At 45.8% G+C, this 16,765-nt stretch overlaps 1 annotated feature.

The window, feature by feature from the left end:
- Nucleotides 4,793-5,992: an enhancer, noted in NCBI's record as "MED14-independent group 3 enhancer chr11:115974681-115975880 (GRCh37/hg19 assembly coordinates)". NCBI's record gives its function as "activates an origin of replication core promoter dependent on BRD2, BRD4, P300/CBP and CDK7 cofactors, and independent of MED14, by STARR-seq in HCT116 cells {active_cell/tissue: HCT116}" and the evidence as "EXISTENCE:reporter gene assay evidence [ECO:0000049][PMID:35650434]".

Genomic DNA, 16,765 nt, shown 5'->3' on the forward strand with positions numbered 1-16,765 from the left:
CTCCCCCCTACCCCAGTAGGAGACCATGAGCCTCCTTGTGAAGGAGGCTGTGGTAGCCAGCAGCTCCTTCTGAAGTTTAGGCCTCTCTTCCCCTAATCCTCTCTTCATTTGGAGACAAACAACAAACCCCTCTGGCACCCCCACCCCTCAGATCAACTCCATCAAGAAGCGAGGCTTCTCTTTGTACTACAGCAAACACACGTCTCTTATTGACGTTCCCCTGGGACCCTCTGTGGCAACACATGCGTAGCTTTGAAGTTGCGAGTGTGTTTAATGCGCAAGGGCCCCGTCTCGGTTCAAGGACAGTATTTTAAGTCCCTGAGAAGAGAGGAACAAAGTTTTGATTGCAGAAAGAAACAGATCCTTAACAGACTTGAATGATAAAACATCACAATCTCATCCGATTGTAGCAGCCAGCTCTGAAGAGGGAGTCACGGAAGAAACAATTGATTGGGAAGCCTGACTTTAATCTCAGCCATAAGCCTGTTCCTTGACCTAAGCTACTACCACTTCCCTGACTTGTGACAAGCACAGAACTAAAAACGCAGGGTGCAAGCTGCTCAGGGCAGGACTGCTGGGGAAGCAAACATAACCGCGGCTTGGAAAACTTCAGGACAAAGGCATCGTGTGGGAAAATGGCCTCCTTTGAAAGATTACTGCCTGAAGGAGGTGTCACCTGATCAAATAATAAAATCCTGAAGAGGGTACAGCTCATCACTTGACCTGGATCCATCTACAGAAGAATAGCCATCATTTCACCTTTTCAAATGAGCTTAGTTGTTTCAGAAACAAACCATAAACTTCACTGCAGGTCCAGCGAGAGTCCAGGCTTCAAGAGGGAAGAAAAGAGCCACTCTTCTGGAAGCAACTGAAGGAAAGAAATATGAGACAGATAGCTGTTGAGAATATTGTCTTCTCACGGATTCCATGAGGATCTGGCCCAGAACCTGGGTGGAAAACAGACCAATCATCACCAAACCAGCTTCACCAACAGTGCTGCAGGCAGTGACCTGAGAGATGCCCGGACCAGGAGAGAGGCCACACTGGGAAGCCAAGGTGATCTTAGTGATACCTGGGACTCAGGCACTGCCTATCATTCTGAAGAGCAGGGGTCAGGCCAGCAAGCTGGGCTCATGAGTAAAGGCAGGTGGAGAAGATCATCTAGAGGGGTCATCAGAAAGTTTAGGTCTCAACTTTTCAGTTGGAGAAATATTAATATAATCACCCCATGTTCCCAGGGGTGATCAGTACTAGGGGGATGGTTTGCATTGAGCTAAGAGCATCTTATTCATCTGTGTATCTTCTGGGACAAGCACAATGTATGGCATATACCAGGTCAATGATTTTAACCCTGTCTACTCATTAGAACAGCCTAGGGTGCCTTACTAAAATACCAGTGGCTAGGAGCCACTCTCAGAGCCTCTGAATTAATTGGTCTGGGAATAGGCCCAGGCATGAGAGTTATAACTTCACAGGTGATCTAAAGTAAAGTCAAGGCTATGAACAATTGTACCAGATCATCAATGAATGGCAGCTGAACAATGGAAGAACTAATGTGGTATGGTTTCGCTGAGTCCCCACCCAAATTTCACCTTGAATTGTAATAGTCCCCACATGTCAAGGGCAGGGCCAGGTGGAGATAATTGAATTATGGGGCAGCTCCCCCATACGGTTTTCATGGTAGTGAATAAGTCTCACGAGATCTGATGGTTTTATAAATGGGAATTCCCCTGCACATGCTCTCTTGCCTGCTGCCATGTAAGACATGATTTTTCTCCTCATTTGTCTTCCACCATGATTGTGAAGCCTCCCCAGCCATATGTAACTGTGAGTCAATTAAACCTCTTTCCTTAATAAATGACCCAGACTCAGCCAGCCTGCCGCTATACTTTATTTCTAATTCAGAGAGTTCATTCTCAGATCTATCCAGGGTGTCCTTCGAATGGCTCCCCAAATCCAACCAAAGCCTCTTCTTACGAAGTCATCGACATCTGTCTCTCAGGCCAGGCTTCTTCAAAACAAAAGGCGCTTCTCCCTCGCCAGTGCTCAGGCTCAGCAAAGGCTCAGGCAGGTAGGTCTTTACTAGCAGAGTGAAAACAGACTAATACACAATGAATGAATGGAAGCATTGGAGGTGAATGACAGCACACTCATTCACAATGGCAGCATCCCTAATAGGACTGCTGGCACTAGCCATTGGCATGGGCTGGTGAGAAAGTCTGCTTAGGAGGCCAGATTATCCATCAGAAGGCTCCCTGTTTAGCCCAACATAAGCAAAGGGACATTGGCTATTCCTGAAAGAATCTTCACAACAAACCACTATAGTTGCTTCATATCCCCTCATTCCTGCTAAATTCTCTGTAGCATGCTATTATGTATATCTCTTCATTCAATGCTTTTAACAAAGCAGAATCATAGGAAGAATAGGTGTTTTTTAATCTACGTTTCATGAGTGACTAAAATGACAGTCCCGGCTGCCAGATTATGTAGAATGTCCCAGGTCACGCAGTTTCCTTGTGGGGAATCGAGGGCTCTCTGTTTACTGGATGGGGTTAACCTAGGAGCTGAGGGTTAACCTGGTAATCTGACCTCTTTTCTGCATCTATCCTACCCTGTGCCTCATTACATAGGCACACGCATGGGCTGGGGCAATACGATCAGGCATTTAATTAAGCAGATATCAAGCTCAAGAGGGCCCTATTTCCTCTACTGTGAACCTAGGAGCAATGATAAGGAAATGCAGGAGCCTGAGGGTTGAAGCACAAATTTAATAAACATTTCCGCCGTTGCCTGGAGCCTGATTTCTGTCAAGGCCCAATGACTTCTTGAACTAACTTGCTGAGTGATTGCAAACTTCTTTGAGAGCCTCATGAGGGATGGCACTCATTGGAGGTTGAGCATGTACACAAACACAGGCCCAACTGGATGGATACCCTAGCGCTCTCTCTCTCTCTTTCTCTCTCTCATTTGTGCACATGCACACACCCTCCTCACAATGCCATAATGTCTATGTAAATTGGATCTTTAATATCCTTCAGATAAATGGCTTCAGAAAGAACATGGATACAATACTCTGTCTCTGAGTTAACATGTTAGGCTCTGCCTCCCAAATTGGCTCAGAGAAATTAGCAGGAAGGAAGGATCAGACGAAATAATAAACCTGCTTACCTGCTCATTAATTTAATCTCCCCCCCACCACCCTCTCTTCGTCTTGTGGTTTCACTACCCATAAAATAACTAGATAACTTCGAAGTCCTAGATGAAAGAGAAACTAGGTCTGGAAGCTCTAAGATTAAAGGAGAATTTGTAGGATTAGTCTTTGATTTTTTTCTGTTTCTCTCTCTTTCTCCCCCTGTCTTTTATTTTTTTTTTCTTTTTATCTCAAAGGTGACGGAAGAGGCTTCCCTCTTCTTTTCACCTCTCTGCTGAGCTGGTCAGCCTGAAGCCTCCCCTGGGGGACAGAGGCAGAGCTCACAAGGAACTTGGGACCTGGGACAGAAAGTGCAGAGTAGTAGGGCTCCTCTTAGTGACATTTCCCACAAGACATTCAAGGGCATCTGTTGTTTGAGTAATGTATGGGCACAGGAATCTGCTTCCTCCTTATTGTTTGAGTAGGACACCCTCTTGCAGATTCTTGGGTGCACTTCCCTATACCTCCTTTCCCAGGTAACTCTCTCCCTTAAAGAGCCTGAGATGAGTAGAAAAGACCCTGACCTACCTGGCCTGCACAATCTTGGGAGATTTCAGTGATTCCATTATGTCTTCCCAGTCCTGAGAGCCAGACTGTGAGCATCTCCAACATTGCTCTACAAGACATGTTTCAAACAGTTGCACCTAAGTCACAACGCACCCTCCCTAGGGCCACTCCTGCCCCTGGTTATAACTAGCAAACACAAGCCAGCCTGCTGCTGTACTTTATTTCTAATTCAGAGAGTTCTTTCTTAGATCTATCCACTCTTCTCGGGAGCTCCTGGCATCTCAGGGTAGTGAGCACCTCCCTGAAAGCTCTGGGTGACCAGTCTTTATTCATTGCACGTGTGCCTCCTCCCCAAAGTCTAGCGTGAAGAAATCGGACAAGATACAGAGATCCTCTACTCCACCGGGGGAAAGTGAAAACCACACAGTTTAAGAGAGATGGGAGAACAGAGAAGCAGCAGCAGGCTCTGTTCAACAGATGGGCAGCCCAGGGTGGCGAGGGGGAGAAATGTGCCCCAGAGCAGCAGCTTGTCCCGGTGCTCACATAGGGTGTCCTTCGAATGGCTCCCCAAATCCAACCAAAGCCTGTTCTTACAAAGTCATCGACATGTCTCTCTCAGGCCGGGCTTCTTCAAAACAAAAGGCACTTCTCCCTCTCCAGTGCTCAGGTTCAGCAAAGGCTCAGGCAGGTAGTGACAACAAAGAAGGCAAAAGGCCAGGGAGCAAGTGCAGTGCTGTAAAAATGAGATGGGAGTTGAAGCTTCTCTAGGCATCTGGATGCAAATACCTATGAATTTTCAAGCCCCATATGCAGAGGTACCCCTGTGGCTGATGTGCCGCAGCCCTGTTATCCATATTCAAGCTCACAGGCCTCACTTTTGGAAGGAAAGTTACTCTAGTCCAGAACAGCAGCACCCAGGAGTCTTAGTCTCATAACTTCTTCATATTGAGGCCCCAAGAGCTCATGCTTGTGTAGGTTTTGTCTATTGATATTTACTGTACTAGATATTAAAACTGAGAAAAGTAGCTGGGTGTGGTGCTTACCCCTGTAATCCCAGCTCTTTAGGAGGCTAAGGTGAGCAGATCACTTGAGGCCAGGAGTTCAAGACCAGCCTGGGCAACATGGTGAAACCCTGTCTCTACTAAAAATACAAAAATTAGCCGGGTGTGGTGGCAGACACCTGTAATCCCAGCTACTCCGGAGGTTGAGGCAGGAGAATCACTTGAACCCTGGAGATGGAGGTTGCAGTGAGCCAAGATCACACCACTGCACTCCAGCCTGAGAGACAGAGAAAATTACAAAATATTTGTTAATTCATTTAAAAATAACATCTATCATACGTGAATATATACAATAGTTTTTTAATTTTCCAAAACAAAATTAGTGAGAACAGTGGCCTTGTTTTATATTCACAAATCTCTTTAATGGCAGCCTTAATAGAAACCAGCTAGATTCACGTATCTGCTTCTGGACGCACCCTGTTGTGATAGGCTGTTTTGTTGAAGTTCATAAAAAAAAATACAGCCTCACACAGATATGTATTTGGAAAGGGGAGGAATAGCTTAATAATCTTTTCTGATAATTGTGGGTATTTATGGAAATTACATTAAAACTCAAAAAATGGTGCTTTCTTAAAGGTTACAGCTTGGAATGAGAAACCTTTTCATATAATGTTACATTAAAATCCATTGATCTATCTTACACTTGAAATGGAATTTTTGCATCATGGATTGATCATCTGGAAATATTGGTTCACTGAGTTATACAGATCTTGCAAATGTTGATACATTTCATGATGCAATATTGGAAATCCACATTTGTCCATATCGCCTCAGATTGCGTCAGAAAAGTCTTTTAACTATTTGGAAGTTCCCAGTGCAAGGGCCACTAGGATTCAGCCCTTGTTGGAGAAGGTGCAATTACAGCCTGCTGGAAGGCAGAGAAGTTCTCTGGGTTGCCTGGACCCAAGCTGGACCATAGTCAATGAGCTGAGGCTGGGAAACAGGAACTGGAAAACAGGAAACCCCTGCCGAGGCACCTAATGAAACATACAGGGAAGCCTTCTTCAGGAATGTCGTTGAGCTAACTGGTAAGCCAGCTAGGGAACCTATGGAACTCCCCAGGAAGGTGCCTCCTGTAAGGCTGCCCACAGGGAAATGCTACACCATGCAGGAGAGCTCCCTGGGAAGCCTTCCTCTGGGATACCAAGGGAAACCACCTAGGAAGAGGTGCCAGGCTGCTGAGGATGAGCCCTCATCATCATTTTACATAGCAATTGTTGGAGATTAACTTTATAATGTTCTGTTTAGGTGTTATTTAGTAGTACCATGGCTAAATTTAAGGAGATGTTAATATACCCAGCAACAGATACAATAACTCTTGAGACTATACATCTGTTTAGGAAAAGGATGAGAATTTCACTAGTTCAAAGGATAGCTATAACTCATTACGCAGAAAGACAGTTGTTTCAGTGTCAAACAGAAGTTCAAGTGTGTGCAGAGGTTGTGTAAATAAAAGGGTGGACTATGCCAGTCATCAAATTATTGCTGCTCAGCTCCAAGGCTACCTTCATTCCTGCTTGTGATACTGGAATGTGTCTTACTGGTCAATTGGAACTTTTTGTCAGTAGACAGCACTGGAAGAACACTGGAGGAGGAAAGGGCTTTTCTTCCTGGTTCCAGTGATCTTCTCAGCTTTCTCCTTGGTGCATGGTAGCCAGCAGTGCATGGGATACTAAGTGATGTCATGTTTATTGGAGCTGGCATCTCCCCCATTACCAGCTTCCCTTGGCACCATGGAGAGTGGCTTTATGGAAAGTTCACCCATCAGTGCAGCTCCTCCCTGGGGGCAGCCTCTTAGGACCACAGAGAGGGGCTTCTTGGTGAACCCTGTGTGTGCCACAGCTGGGCTTCCCAGCGTGTTCACCAGCCTCCATGACAGCTTCCAGCAAATTCCATTGACCATCACAAGCAGTTTCCTGTCTGCCAGGCCTGGCCTAGTGACTGTGGATGGGCTGTGGCCCAGAGTAGCTTCCTGTCATGCAGGGGGCTACCATGATACCAACTCCAGTGAATTCTGACTCCCAGCCCCCACTCAAGTTTCTTCCTTTATTGGAACTCTCCCTTAGTCTTACGGTGTTCTTTAGAATTCTCTTTTATTCTTGCAAATAGTTCATTCTTTATGTTAAACCTTCCCTATTTATATGCGAGGTGGTTTTTCTCTCCTGACTAGATCGTGACTGATACAATAGGAATACAAATTTTCACAAATTCTAATATGCTTAAAAACTTCAGTCTTATCTATGGCAACAAACACTGTCAGTCATTTTCCCTGAAGTGACAGTCTCACTTTGTTTATCTGTAAGAAAATATTTTCCAAATACTCAAGTCTGGTTAGTCATAAATTGTCTATCACTCATCATTTCAAGTAAACGGGTGTTTTATTAAGAAAGTGGCTAGTTCAGCTTGCAACTCAAGTGCACATGTGCTTTTCCTCAAGATGAACATATTTAGCATAAACTGTTTTTGCATACTTCCCATTTTATTACACAGAATATTAAATAGGCATGTACTCAAAGGTCAAGATTTAAGAAAATTAATATTTTTACTGCCACATCAGGGCATTCTTGAGTAAAAGTGATTTTTTTATTCTACAATAAAAAATTCTAGAATAAAAAATTGCAATCTAGTAAAAAATATAATGTTCAGTATTAAAGTTTGGTGCCACGGCCTTGATTTGGGCTAAGCAGTTTACAGTTTTACCCATTGTTGATGGTGTGCCATCAGTGTAAATGTCAACACAGTGAAAAAGGTAAATAGCATCATGAAAATGGTTTTGATCTCACAGAACCCTGTAAAGGACCTAGGAAACCCCAGGCATCCATGAGCCACACTTTTAAAGGTAAAGTATATATGTTTGGGCATCAAAAAGACCTGAGCCTGAATCTTGACTCTGCCAGTTTTTAACTAGATGACCCTGGACAATTTGCTTAACTATGCCTTGGTTTTCTCATATATAAAATGGGATTCATAAGACTGCCTCCTTCACCGGGATATGTAAGAATTAAATGAGATATAGTATGGGTATATAGCATAGTTCCTAGCATACAGTAAGTTCTTAATAAAAAGAGATTATACTGAAGAGAAAAGAGGAGGAGTGAGAGGAGAAAAAAACACAGAGTCCTGGTCATTTCAGAGTGGAGGCATAAGGAGACCATTATGGCAAAAGTGAGGTTGCAAAGTTGTGGTGGGTAAACCCGGAGCCTTGAGTTCTTTCATCCTGTCCCCAAAAATTCTTGAAGGAGGAGGAGCCAACTGGGTGAAGAAAGAATCCCAAGTGTGGGCTCACCCACTTCTGGATGCTTTTTAGAAGGTAACCCCAGAAGGGCTTTATATTTCTTAGGAGAATTTCCCTTCGCCCCTCAATAAAGACAGCCACCATGTGAGAGATGGGGGATGGCTAAGACATCTAACTAGAGTCTAATTTGGGACTCTAACAAAGTGCTTCATGCTGCCACTAAGGTGCAAAGCTGGTGTTAGAGTACCAGCCTGGTTACAGTACTGAAGTTCACTCCTTCTGTTCTGCGGCATTCCCCCTGGTGTGTCAGGAGACACTGCAATCTTCTCTCAGAGAAGTCAAGAGAGAAAAATCTGCAACACAAAACAAAGGCACCTAGGTCAGATTCCGCAGTTGTATCTTAATTATTCAGGAGTTGCTTCCATATTTAGCAGTGCTCAGCTCCAAAATATGAATACTATCTTATGACTGCTAGGCAGGGTAACCCACAATTAGCCAGGCTGTTTACAGTGCCCTCTACTCCCCTTTTCCTTCCCCAGCCTTCTGAGAAAAAGGACACTCCGTAACAATAAATGTTGTTGTTTTCAGCTAATTCCTAACAATAAATACAACTGACTTTTATTGAGAACTTGCTTCAGTCTAGGCATTATGCTAAGTGTTACACACACGACTTCATTTCATCCTCAAAACAGTTTGAGCCCATTTTAAAGACAAAGAAACTGAGTCTCAGAGAGGTCAACTGGTGTGTCAAATCTGCACAATTAGTGTCAAATTATTTTCTATCTGACCTCAGAGCTGGTGTTAGTAGCACTTTTCTCTCCTGCGTCTCAATGTAAGTGAATTTTCACAGTAGGTGAGTGCATTTCCTCCTCCTTCCATCTGGCATTTGGGGTCACAATTCTTCCTTGCTAGTTTGTCTTGCTTCCATACCATCCTGAAACCAAGTGGTTTCCTTCAGTGCTCAGTTTCTTGTTGATAGCTTTGTATATATTCCTCAAATAAATTCTCACTGCAAAAGTCTTTTGGATTCCTCCTCTCTTCTTGTTGACTTTCCTGAGTTCAGCTTGCTCCCTTGCAAGCGATCCACCATGCTGTTACCACCACAGCCTTCCTAAACACACCCTTCCTTCCCTCACTTAAATGCCCTGATACTCCCCAGCTGTGACTAAGACCACATTCTCCAGCTTGCTATTCCAAGCACTTGGTTGCCTGCTTCCAGTTAATCTCTCCAAGTTCATTCCTTCCTCCCCTGCCTGTCTCCTGTGCTTCAGAATCCCTGATGGACCCTCCAGCCTCCACAACAAGGACTGTATGGTATTTCTCTTTGTGGCACTGGTGCCTAACGCCATTCTTGGCTCATGGTAGCTGTGCAGAACATGTTATTGAAGAAATGAATGATGGATGCATGCATGGATGATTTTTAACAGCAGTTATCTTATGCCTCCTTGAAGCCTGCTTAGTAAACATTTGCTGAAGGATAGCTTCCAAAACTTTTGGATTCACTTTGTCACTGTTCTGAGCACCTTAGTTCCAGATTTTAATAGCTAGGCCCTCCCGGTCATCTTCATCCCTTCCCACTTTCATAAGGAGTGGAGAGCCACAGCCCCTCCCACCAGGATCAGCTCCCCATGGGCTGCACCACCCTGTCCCAGGAAACCTTCCCATCCTCCTATGTTTGCATTATGGAAAGTCACATATGTGGAACATTGGCTTCTCCACGGAGTTCCCATCTCCCTGCAGGAGCCCCCAGACTTCCCTCCCCACTCTTTTCTGAGCTGTCATCTCTGTGAAGGCAGCCTTTACAGAGTAAGCACCATGCAGGCTAGGAGTGCTCCCAGATCCACTTGGACATTTTGTCTTGGGTTGTGTGGAGGGAAGTAGCAGAGAGACGTTGCAGCAACAAAGGGCTGAGTGCAAGCAACGGAGAGGTGGAGAGTAGGCATTTGCTTCTTAACATCATATTGTCCCTTCAGAGATACTAAGGCAAGTGGCTTATCTGGAGGCAATGTAGCCAAGGCATCTCCAACATGGAAGGTGTTGTGGAGCCAGAGGCCCTTCACAATCACATGGAATAGCTGTCTATCAATCGGTCAGCACCCGTCAGGAGCCCAGACCTATACTAGGCTGGGGGTGGGAATGGGCAAAAGAGACACCAATGATATAAAACAGGTAAGTCCCACCCAAGGACAATATTATCCAAAATGAAGACATCACAGCAGACATAAGGCAGCGAGTCCTGCGATGGGCATTATTCCAGGAAGGGAGAGAGCACTGTGAGTCATGGGGTGTGCTTGAGCTGAGGTGGTGAGTCATGAGGTAGGGGTGGTGCTTGACAGGGAGTAGGGGCATGCAAGTGGGTAGCACTTTACGGGGCTTGCATGTAGCCAGGGTGTCTGCCTAATCTGAGCCTTGGGTGTGCACAAATGGCAGAAGGCTGAATTATATCATGATTACAGCTTTTTTTCTTTAATTTTGTTTTTTTAATTGACAATAATTGTACATATTCATGGGATACACAACAATGTTTCAATACACATGATGTATAGTGATCAGATCAGGGTACTTAGCATATCATCATCTCAGACATTTAACATTTATTTGTGTTGGGATCATTTAATATCCTCCTCCTAGCTATTTGGAACTATGTATTATTGTTAATTATAGTCATTCTACAATGCTATAGGACACCAGAATGTATTCCTCCATGATCACAGCTTTCTAATTCTTTTCTGATAGACCGTCTTATCTGGTCTCACTGGCCAAAACGCAGCCTTGGAATCCTCTAGGATATCACTAGCAGTTATTGTGAGTTCCAACCTGAGAATCAATTTATTTACAATTCTTGAACCCATAGCAACAAGAATAAAAAAGAAAGAGAATTTGGAAGTTATCTCATGGGGGGAATAAAGGCAAGTGTGAAGGTGCCTTAGGGAGGGGAAGGAAGAGATAAAACAGATCACTGCTTCGTTTATGCCCCAAGCACTCAATGCATTTACCAACCAAAACATTTTAACTGCTTATTTTATGCAGTTGTTTGCTATCTCAACCATGAGTCCTTCGAGAGTTAGTTAGGAATATCTTATTTTCTCTTCTATACCCAGCATTTAGCACGATACCAATATCGATAGACAAAAAATATCAATAAACATATATTGAATGAATAAGTGAAGGAATAAATGAATGAATAAATAACTGGTGGTCCTGGAGAACAAAAATGGTGATACCACTGACAGAAATGGAAGATCAGGAAGGAGAGCCAGAACACTGTAACAGAAAGCAATATAAAAGCAGGTTTCATCTCAACATGAGAAAGAACTCTACAGAGGCCAAGAATATCTCAAGAAGCACTTGGCTTCATGGAAAGGTATTCACAGTGAGGATAAAGATAGCTGCCATTTATCTCATGTTCACCTTATGCAACCCTCACTGCAGCCTGGTTACACAGGAACTATTACCATCCCCTTTCTACAGGTGGAAAAAATGAGTCTCCAGGAGGCTTTGTAACATGCCCCAAGCGACAAAGCTGGTAAGTGCAGAATACAAGCTTTAAACCCCAAATGATTCCAGGACCTCACTGTAATTGCTGCCCCTCAACAACAAAGTTCAGACCCTGGGAGTGCATATCTGATGGCTTCATGACCTCATCCTCTCACTCCTCACCCTGGTGTTGTGTTGCTCTCACATTGTAAACAGCCTCCTCCCTCAGACTTCCTCTTCAGAGACCAGCCCATTCCCAGGTGGAGAAACACTCCTCTGGACTTGATGCTGGTGTGTCTTTGACCCATCCTCAAGGCAATGGGGGTGGAGAGGCAGGGGGTTGCTTCAGGGGCAGGCCTAGACCTCTGTGCCACTTGGAGCCTGCTATTCCAATAGGGCCTTGCCTCCTCCTTCTGATAGCTTCCCAGGGAATGTAGGGATTCACCTTCCACAGAGAAGTTCGGCCCTTGCCCAGCTCCTGAGAGTTAGCCTCTCAGCCCTTGGAATATCTGCCCAGTAAGAGCACCTTTGTTTTTACCTGAGGTCCCTGGTCTCAGTCTCAGATTGACCTCTGGAGGGGCAGGAGACTGAGGTAAGCCATGCAGGAGCTCCATGCCTACATGAGCAACCCCTGATAAAAACTAGACACCAAGGCTCAGGTGAGCTTCCCTGGTTGGCAATGCTTTGTGTGTGTTGTCAACATCATTTCTGAGGGAATTAGGAGCTGTCTGCTGACTCCACTGGGAGAGGACAATGGAAGCCCACACCTGGAGCTCTACTGGACTATGCCTCTGCACCTTTTTCCATTGCTGATTTTCACCTGTAACCTTTTGCTAATGAACTGTAGCTGTGAGTCTAACAGTTTTGCTGAATTCCACGAGTACTTCTAGTGAATTACTAAAGCTAAGAGTGGTTTTGGGGACCCCTGAATGGCAGTCTTCTTGACCCCCATTGTTCCTGTCTGTTCCATCTTATCCCCTTCTGCTTCGGAGCTGACCCTGGCTCTCTGCCTATTTCCTTGCACCTGCCTCTTGGACCTCTCTGCCTTCAAGTTTGCATTGCATTGTGGGATGGCACACCCAGTATCCAGCAATCAGCCTAGCCAGGCCCATGGCCAGCCCTTGCTCCTAGAGAATCCAAACCCAAACCAGAGCACTTATCTCTTCCCTCCCCAGGGAAAGGGGTCCGGAGAGTGACCCACCAAAGCTGAACAACTGCCTGACCTAGAGACATCCAGAAGAAGAGGTGAATGATGAACCCGATGATCTTTAAGCTTCTTCTCAAATCCTATGGTGCTCATTCTTGGATGTGTCCATTTAGTTTGGATATTTTGAGTTTGAGGCAATGACAGGATTTTCAAGTGGAAGCGTCCTCTTGAATGCTCACAGAGATGGCTGGGGAGATAGAGGTCGGTGGGAGAATATTCTCATGATCGGGCCCTGCTTGGAAGATGAAAAGCCTGCAGGGAGCTCAGACTGCATACAGAGGCTTAGGAGTCCAGGAAACCAACTAGTTGAGCTGCCTTTCATAGCATAGCTGTGGCTTCCCAGAACTTGCCGGGGAAGGCTCCCCTTTCCTCCCTGCCAATTTCTCCACCCCACCTGGCACCAAAGGGCCTAGCCTCCAAGTCACAATTAAAGCTGTGCAACGATGCTAATTGCTGTATCTGACCTCCCTTCGGATAACAAGGGAATCCCTCTCCCTAATTAGCCCTGCCGCTGGTAGACCAGCAAAGCCAAATGTTTATTATGGGATGAATGCTCTTACCGTAGATTTTGACATATGCTGTGGAAAGATGTTGGATAAATAAGACTTCAGAGGCATGGGTTGCTTAAATAATGAATACCCACTGCTGTGGGTGATGAGGGTGGAGGGGAGTGAGGCAAAAAAGAAGCAAAGGATCCTGGATCCATGCTCAGAGCCCGGGAACAGACTTGGTTGGGAAAGAAGCAGAGGGAGGGATATGGCAATGCCAGCAGGAAGGCTAGGGTGAAGAAGAGAGTGTGCTGGGCTCCACACTGCACTCACTGCTCCTGTTGTCCTGCAGAAATGCCGTCCCATCCCCCACACCCACTCACTTCCATTCATAGTCCCCTGGGAAGCAATGACAAATGGCTTGTGAAACAAAGTCAGAGGGGAGGTAGGAGAAATTTCCTCCCCACAAAGAATAAAGCCGGTGCCTGTCTGAACAGGCCCTGAGTTTACTGTTGTTGATGTCTTGCTTCTTCCCAGGGGAGTGGAGAGTGAGTACGTGGAAGCCTAATCTTGCACTTGGGCTTCCTGGGGTGGCCAAGATGTGCAGAGAAAATCATTGCACCCAATCAAGGACCCCCAGCCCATGACGTTCTGAAGCACTGAGGAAAGGAGAATGCTGGTTTTATGGTTTCCATATATACCCTTCAGGTCTAGCTCTGGTTGAGCAGACCACACACTATGAAAGAAAGGTCCTTAGATGTGACTTATGCCTGGATTTGGAAAGACTCCGCTCTTCCCCCATCCCATGGGCTCAGGCCCAGAAGGCTGATCCACAAGCAGATCTCACAAAGATGGCTGTGTCTCTTTCAGTTCCTCAGTTTCCAGTCAATGAAAGAGAGAGACATCCTTTCATCTCAGTGAATGGGGTTTGTCCAACAATTCTGGGTAGATGTCAGGGAGGCAGAGGGACTCCCAGTAACTGCACAGACAGCCAGGCTCTGGGGAGACCATGCTTGTTTCAGACACATGGTCCAGCCTTTGACCTCCACTCCTCAAGTCCACACTTCAGCTACTGGTCCTCTGCAAATAGGGTGGCTCATGACCCTCACCTGTTTCTCTTCAGAACAAGCCCAAATCTCAGTGTCTTACAAACAGCAAAGGTGTGTTTCCATTAATGATACATGTCCCATATAGGTCAGCGGAGGCCTCTGCTCCACTTGGTCACTCAGGGATCCAGGCTTTGGAATTTGCTATGGCCGAGAGGAGACAGCTGGAGGGCCATTTGTTGGCTCTTCTATGCTTCAGCCTAGAAATGACATGAGCTGCTCATGGACCAGACCTAGTCCCATGGCTCCACCTTAGTGTGAGGGGGCTGGGACACATTGGGGAACATTTGGGAAGCAGCACTATTTATGCCCCAGACCATGTCCAAGGGGCTGGAGCAAATTAGCTTTCCTAGTAGTGCCTTTGAGCCTCACCTTCCTCTCCTCCACACACCTGCACAGGATAGGACCAGAGGTCCAGTGGGTACCAGTCTAGATGGCCCCTCGATTTACAGATGGAGAAACTGAGGCCAAGCAGGTCGTGATTGGCTTGGTTACCAGCCCCTGCCAGGCCACCTCCACCAGCTGCTTTCCAGGGCAGTAGTGATCCTCCAGCGCTCTTTCCCTTGGCCTCTCCTTGTTTGTCCACTGGCGCCTTCTCCCTTGTAATTTTTATTTTATTATTCTCCTCTCCTCATTCTGAGGAACTTCCAAATGTCATTCTTTCTTTAGTTTTTCACCTCCACAGAGCCCTCCTTTTCTTTGTCTCCCTCCCTCAGGCAGGCTCTTTCCCTGTGAAGGGCTCTTTTTTTCTCCTCCTACAGAGCACACTGACCTTTTCCTCTTCTCCGTAGGACAAAGCCCGGCCTGGCATGCTCCTAACGGGAATTGGCTCTAGAAGTTCCGGTAATTGCTCTGTCCTTATTATTGAATCTGTGAAGCCAGTTTTGGTCAGGGCACCCCCTCCCTTTCACCCACTCACTTGCTGGAGTCAGACTGCAGATGGGCTGCTAACGAGGTGACCAATTAATAAGCGCTAAATAACCCCAAAATGGTCTTTTTCTCCCTGGCCTGATTTTCAGGCCCCTTTGTTCCTCCTTGGGAATCTGTCCTCTATGACAAGACCACAATGGGGACTATTCCCAAACCTGACCCTGTGAGATGCTGACGCACTCAAGCCACGGTCACAAGACCCTACTGCCCAACTCCTTTGCTCTGGGGGTTATGGGAGCAAGGAGGGTTCCTGCCTCTCAGGAATAGTAACACAACTACCCTACATCATTGACCACTTACTGTGTGTTATATAACCCTGGTGAAACCTTTCATTTACTCATTCCTCCAAACAGACATGAATTGAGTACTTCTGAGGTGCCAGATACTACACAGGCCAGGCAGTCTGAGCCTTAGACTTGGGCGAAAGGGACCCTCACCTCAGGGCTTCATGCTTTGAAGCACATTCCTGATAATTTTCCAGGCCCTTCTCTGGTGCCTGGTACCTATTGATGCTGCCAGTGCTGACCAGGTAGGGACTCCTGAGCCCTATGTGAGCCCTGTTCCTGTTTCTTCCCACCCCTCCCCCCCTCCCCTCCCCATCCCCCAACACACACGGCTGACCAGATGCTCTGAAGCAATTCTAGGAGACTGGACTGGTGAGCACATTGCTCCCTCTGACTGACAGTATTTCTTCCATGTGGTCCCATGAAATATTGGCACTAGGATGGTGCTGGCTTCCTCACTCAAATTGCTTATATAGACAGAGGCCCCACGGCAGGGGAAAAAATGTGCCCAGGACCCTACATACCCTCCTGGTGGCCTTGACACTAGAGATATGGTGGTGAGAAAAACAGAAACAATCCCTGTCCCCATGGCAGTCATAACACAAACATCAATCAAATGAGGACCAGAGGCTATGATCAAAGGTATCTGAGACTCCACAAGGGAACTGACCAACTGAATGAAGAAGTTGCTGCTGTCAGCTTCATTTTACAAATGAGGAAACTGAGAAACAAAGATGTTGGACTCCTGCCTGATGGCCTGTGCTAGTAGGACCAGAAACAGACTGAGGAACTTGGTTCCCTTGTGTCCCGTTAAGTATAGGACTTCCTCCACCTGCTCAGGCTAAAGGAGGAAAACTCTGGCCTAGAAGCAGGGAGATGGTAGTTTTGAGGACAACTTTACCAGCAAGTGAGAGAAAACTCAGCACAAGCTGATTCATACAAAAAAAAGAGAGGAGAACTAATTGGCTCTTAAGGAATCTCTTAAAGGGTCCAGGAGTGTTTGTCTTCAGGTATGGCTGGATGCAGGTGCTCAGATGATATATTCCCAAGATCAATCACCTTCCCTCTCTCCACTATCCTTTTTTAAAATTGGAGCATAACTTACATACAGTAAAATGTACAGACCTTAAGTGTACATTTCAATGAATTTCTACACAAAAAAATTACTACCCAGATCAAGCTACAGAATTTCCAACATCCCATAAGGTTTCTCTTTGCCTTACCATAAACAACAATTCCTTAAGGGTAGGCACTGTGCTAATTCCTGTCACCATTGTTTA

Source organism: Homo sapiens, chromosome 11 (assembly GCF_000001405.40).
Source record: "Homo sapiens chromosome 11, GRCh38.p14 Primary Assembly".
Lineage (NCBI taxonomy): Eukaryota > Metazoa > Chordata > Mammalia > Primates > Hominidae > Homo > Homo sapiens.